Here is a 4,513-nt window from a genome sequence, read left to right on the forward strand (position 1 = left end):
GTCAATGGGGTTGTGTACCTAGGAGGATTATGGCTGCCTCTGCTGAGTCATGCAGGTTGTCAGGGAAGTCGGGGAAAGCTGGCAGTCACAGGCCTCACCCACCTCCCATGCAAACTGAAGGGTCAGTCTCACTCCCACCATTGCCCCCCAAACAGCCTTGAGTCTGTTTCCAGGTGGTGGGTAAGCTGAGCTTGAGAACTTGCCCCAGGCTACCCACCTCCCAGCTGGGAACGAAAAGGGCTTGGTTCTTCCCCCACCTGTGGGAGTGTGCGCACGGGATTCATGCCCTCCCCCCAGTTCTGGCCAGGAGGCTTCTCACATGGTTCCAATTGTTAAAAAATTCAGCTGGAGATTTCCTTCTCCCTGTGGTGTTTTTCCCCCGCTCCTCTGGCTGCCTTCCTGATGGATCTCTGTGGTCCCAGGCAGGAATGGCCTGCTTGGGGACCCAGCGAGCTCCCAAGGCCTTTCCTGCTGCTTCCTCTATCCCTGTGTTTTGCTTGGCTCTCTAAATTGACTCAGCTCCAGGTAAGGTTGGAAACTTCTCCCACAAACAGACCTTCAGTTTCTCCAGTGGGGGTGTGTGTTTGGGAGAGGAGGGTCTCCCTTTCCCACTTTTGCAGTTGGGGCACTCACAGTATTTGAGGCATCTCCCAGGTCCTGCAGGAGCAGTCGGCTTCCTTCAGAGGGGCTGTGGGTCCTCTCGGTATTTCTGGTTTGTTCTTGTAGTCGATCTGGGGCTAAAATTCACAGTGCCAGCCTCAGCATGCTGCTCTGTCGGAGTCAAAGCTACAGCCTAGTCCTGCCTCCCTTCTGCCATGAGCTCCTCATTTTCTCAGTAGATGCAATTTCGAACAGCAATAACAACATTGTAGTTTTTTACAACAAGCATAAATGATTGTACTTTTGGGCAGCGGAATTTTATGTAAAATGAGGAAATGGGTGGTTTCCAGCCTGCTTGCCTCTTGGTGGTGACTCGCAGCTTTCAGCATTTAGAATCTCTTGCTACTCATTGCTTTCAGGATGCCACAGATTCTCTTTTGTCTGGAGAAATGTATGTGATAACCTGGCACTCACGCCTTGGTGTCTAGGTAGGTATATTAACCTACCAAGGATGTATGCATTTTAGAGACGTTATCTGGAAAGATCAATTCATGACTCAGAGCATGTTTTTCCAAGTGCGGCATTTCTAGGATACAGCATCTGGACAGGGAAAATGTTTCTGAGCAGTGGAGTAGTTAATTTTTTTTTGTTTTTTTTTTTTGTTTTTTTGTTTTGTTTTGTTTTGTTTTTTTTTTGAGGCGGAGTCTCGCTCTGTCTCCCAGGCTGGAGCGCAGTGGCGCGATCTCGGCTCACTGCAAGCTCCGCCTCCCGGGTTCACGCCATTCTCCTGCCTCAGCCTCCGGAGTAGCTGGGACTACAGGCGCCCGCCACCACGCCCGGCTAATTTTTTGTATTTTTAGTAGAGACGGGGTTTCACCGTGTCAGCCGGGATGGTCTCAATCTCCTGACCTCGTGATCCGCCCGCCTCGGCCTCCCAAAGTGCTGGGATTAAAGGCGTGAGCCACCGCGCCCAGCCTGGAGTGTTTAATTTTATGTGTCAACTTGTCTGGGCTGTAGTACTCAGTTACGTAACCAAACACCAATCCAGGTGTCACTGTGAAGGTATTTCGTAGATGCAATTAACATCTACGGTCGGTTGATTTTAAGTAAAAGATACTAACTTTCATAATGTGGGTGGGCCTCATCCCAACAGATGAAGTCCTTCAGAGCAAAAAACAGGTTTCACTGAAAAGAAAATCTGCCTGAAGACCATAGCATCCTCTCCTGACTGCATTTCCAGCCTGCTTGTCTGTCTCTACAAGTTTCAGACTTGCCAGCCCGCATAATTTCATGAGCCAATTCCTTAGAATAAATCTTTTAATGTACACACTCACACACACACATCCAAATGCTTCTATGTCTCTGGAGAATCCTGACTGATATATAAACAACTGCACAGGCAGGCAGTTGTTTTTGTATTCCTCGAATCATGCCTCACTGTGGTCATTACTAGCACAATGCTTTGAATATGAGAAGTGTTTAAATAATATATATTAAACGGATCAATGAGTAACTAACTGGAGATTAACCTAATATGAAAGTTAGTATTGAGGCTTTAAAGTAAAAAATAAATTTTAGCCTTGTGATCATATTTCTCCATAATATTGAAAGCCTTTATTGGGACTCGAATGGTTTCCTGTTTATCATCAAGTAATGATGGAGGTTTGCTCTTAATTCTGTATTGAGTAAATACATGTCCCATATAAAATTTTTTGCTGCCCTCTGGTGGATATAGTTCAATAAATAAACATTATACAATTATATATCAAATTCCATATATTAAGCAGTTTCTCATTTGTGTATGTTCCCAAAGTTGCTTTCTCAGTTTAGAAATTGGAATGCATTTTTCACATCAGAAGAGAGGTTAGTATCTCAGATCTGCTTGTAAATCCCTATTATAATAAATGGTACTTAAAATATGGCACAAAAAATAGTGTAGAGCCTAACAAGTAGGTAGTTGCAATGATTTCATGAGGAAATCCATTGAAAGTGATCACTTGGGAACACAGTTAGCCATCTTCCCTGCTGTGGCCTTGATTACTGAGGAAGGCGAAGTGGAATTTCCTGGATCCCATCCCTGGGGGTGCTTCTATGGCCTGCCATGGGGTGTGTGTATTGGGAGGTGGGGGTGGGAGGATGGTGAAGGACAGAATCGAAAGCTTTCCAGGAATGGGGTGAGGCTTGGGGGTGTAGTGAAAGGGAATGAGGCAGAGCATAGCCCGGAGGAACAGAAGTAGCTGAGTTCTAAAGAAATGAAAGATCTGGAAATAAAATACATATGGGACTGAAGGGACAAGAGTGACACTAAAGACAGGCAGAGAGGAGTGAAGAACAGTGGTAAAGAGTGTCCTGTGCCCGCTCACAAGAGCCAATTGTTAAATTTTCAAGAATTTTGTGAGCCACTTATTAAACACAGACATTATTAAAAACTAAGTCAAGGCCGGCCAAAGTGCCTCACACCTGTAATCCCAGAGCTTTGGAAGGCCAAAGTGGGATGATTGCCTGAGGTCAGGAGTTTGAGACCAGCCTGGACAACATAGTGAGGCCCCCGTCTCTACAAAAAATAAAACGAAAAATAAATTAGCTGGGCATGGTAGTGCACGCCTGCAGTCTCAGCTGCTTGGGAAGCTGAGGTGGGAGGATCACGTGAGCCCAGGAGTTCAGGCTGCAGTGAGCTATGATTGCACCACTACACTCCAGCCTGGGCAAAAGAGCAAGGCCCTGTCTCGAAAAAATTAGTCGTATAAACTTACAATGAAGTAAACTGTCTTTAAAACTAAACTAATATGTACTCAAGACTCACCGCTTCCTAAGTATTTTACTATTTAGTAAAGTCACCTTTTGAGATGATTTACGTTTTGCATTCATATGGTGGGAATATTCCACAATGATGTGTTGTCCAGCATCTCTCCCCAGCTCTGCATTCCGAGATATCAGTAACTTCTTGTTGGTTACAGTGTGAATACTTTTGCCAAGAAAACTGAAAAATGCTACAAATCAAATCAGCTCTCCTCTATCCCCAAGAGCTGAATGTTAAACAGTTGCCAGCATTCCACTGGGTAAGGACATCTCTTCAGTAACAAAAGAAGGTTTTCTTTCTTTTTTAAAAAATAGTTTCACTACCTGTGCTAGATTGGTGTTCTAGTTCATTTATTCATTAAATAAAAAATATTATTTTTTGATTCTCTACTTGTTAGGAGATAATTTTCCATGGGTTTCTTATGTTTCTGCATACCTTATAAGAAAGACACAGATTACCCTTTGTCCCAGAAAATCTTTTCAGTGATGTTCATACAGTGAATGGCCTTGGAAGCTAGGGATTGGGTCTCCCTTTGGAGCAAAGGGCAGACATGCTTGCTGCCCATTATAAAATTTTTGCATCCCCTAAACTCAGCATTCCTCTCCTGTATCACAACCCACTATGTATTCAGGTATCTTTCGGTTCTTTTGTGTCACCCTGTAGACTTGGGCCTCGAGATACTGTCCCCAAAATGCCAAAATCCTGGCTGTTGCTATTGTTGTGATTAATAAGCTGTTCTTCTTCTCTGACCCTGAGTCTCCTGTCTTCTACTGGCATCAATGAAACTGTAGCAGGCAAACTTATTGGCTTGTGAGTAGGGCAAAATTCAGTCCCTTCCCAGTTCTTTACAGTATTATGTGTCAGGCAGTGAGCAAGGAACTGAAATGCAGGGGTGAGTACGGCAAAAAGATCCTTGTGGAGCTCAATATGTCTTGTAGGATTATAAACAAAAAGCATTAAAAATAAATGATGAATATTTAAAATTTATATTAGGATAAGAATTAAGAAAGAGTAGAACAGTGGTGCGATAGAGTAATGGAGCTGTCTAGAGGGAAATCTGCATGAGTTGTTGGGGAAGGTCTCTCTGGTAGGTGGTTAAGCCAGGAGAAAGAA

General features: G+C 44.0%; 1 annotated feature.

The window, feature by feature from the left end:
- Positions 2,345-2,903: an enhancer, noted in NCBI's record as "OCT4-NANOG hESC enhancer chr21:19275561-19276119 (GRCh37/hg19 assembly coordinates)". NCBI's record gives its function as "activates a minimal SCP1, AML or CMV promoter by ChIP-STARR-seq in primed H9 embryonic stem cells {active_cell/tissue: H9 hESC(primed)}" and the evidence as "EXISTENCE:reporter gene assay evidence [ECO:0000049][PMID:30033119]".

This window comes from Homo sapiens, chromosome 21 (assembly GCF_000001405.40).
Source record: "Homo sapiens chromosome 21, GRCh38.p14 Primary Assembly".
Lineage (NCBI taxonomy): Eukaryota > Metazoa > Chordata > Mammalia > Primates > Hominidae > Homo > Homo sapiens.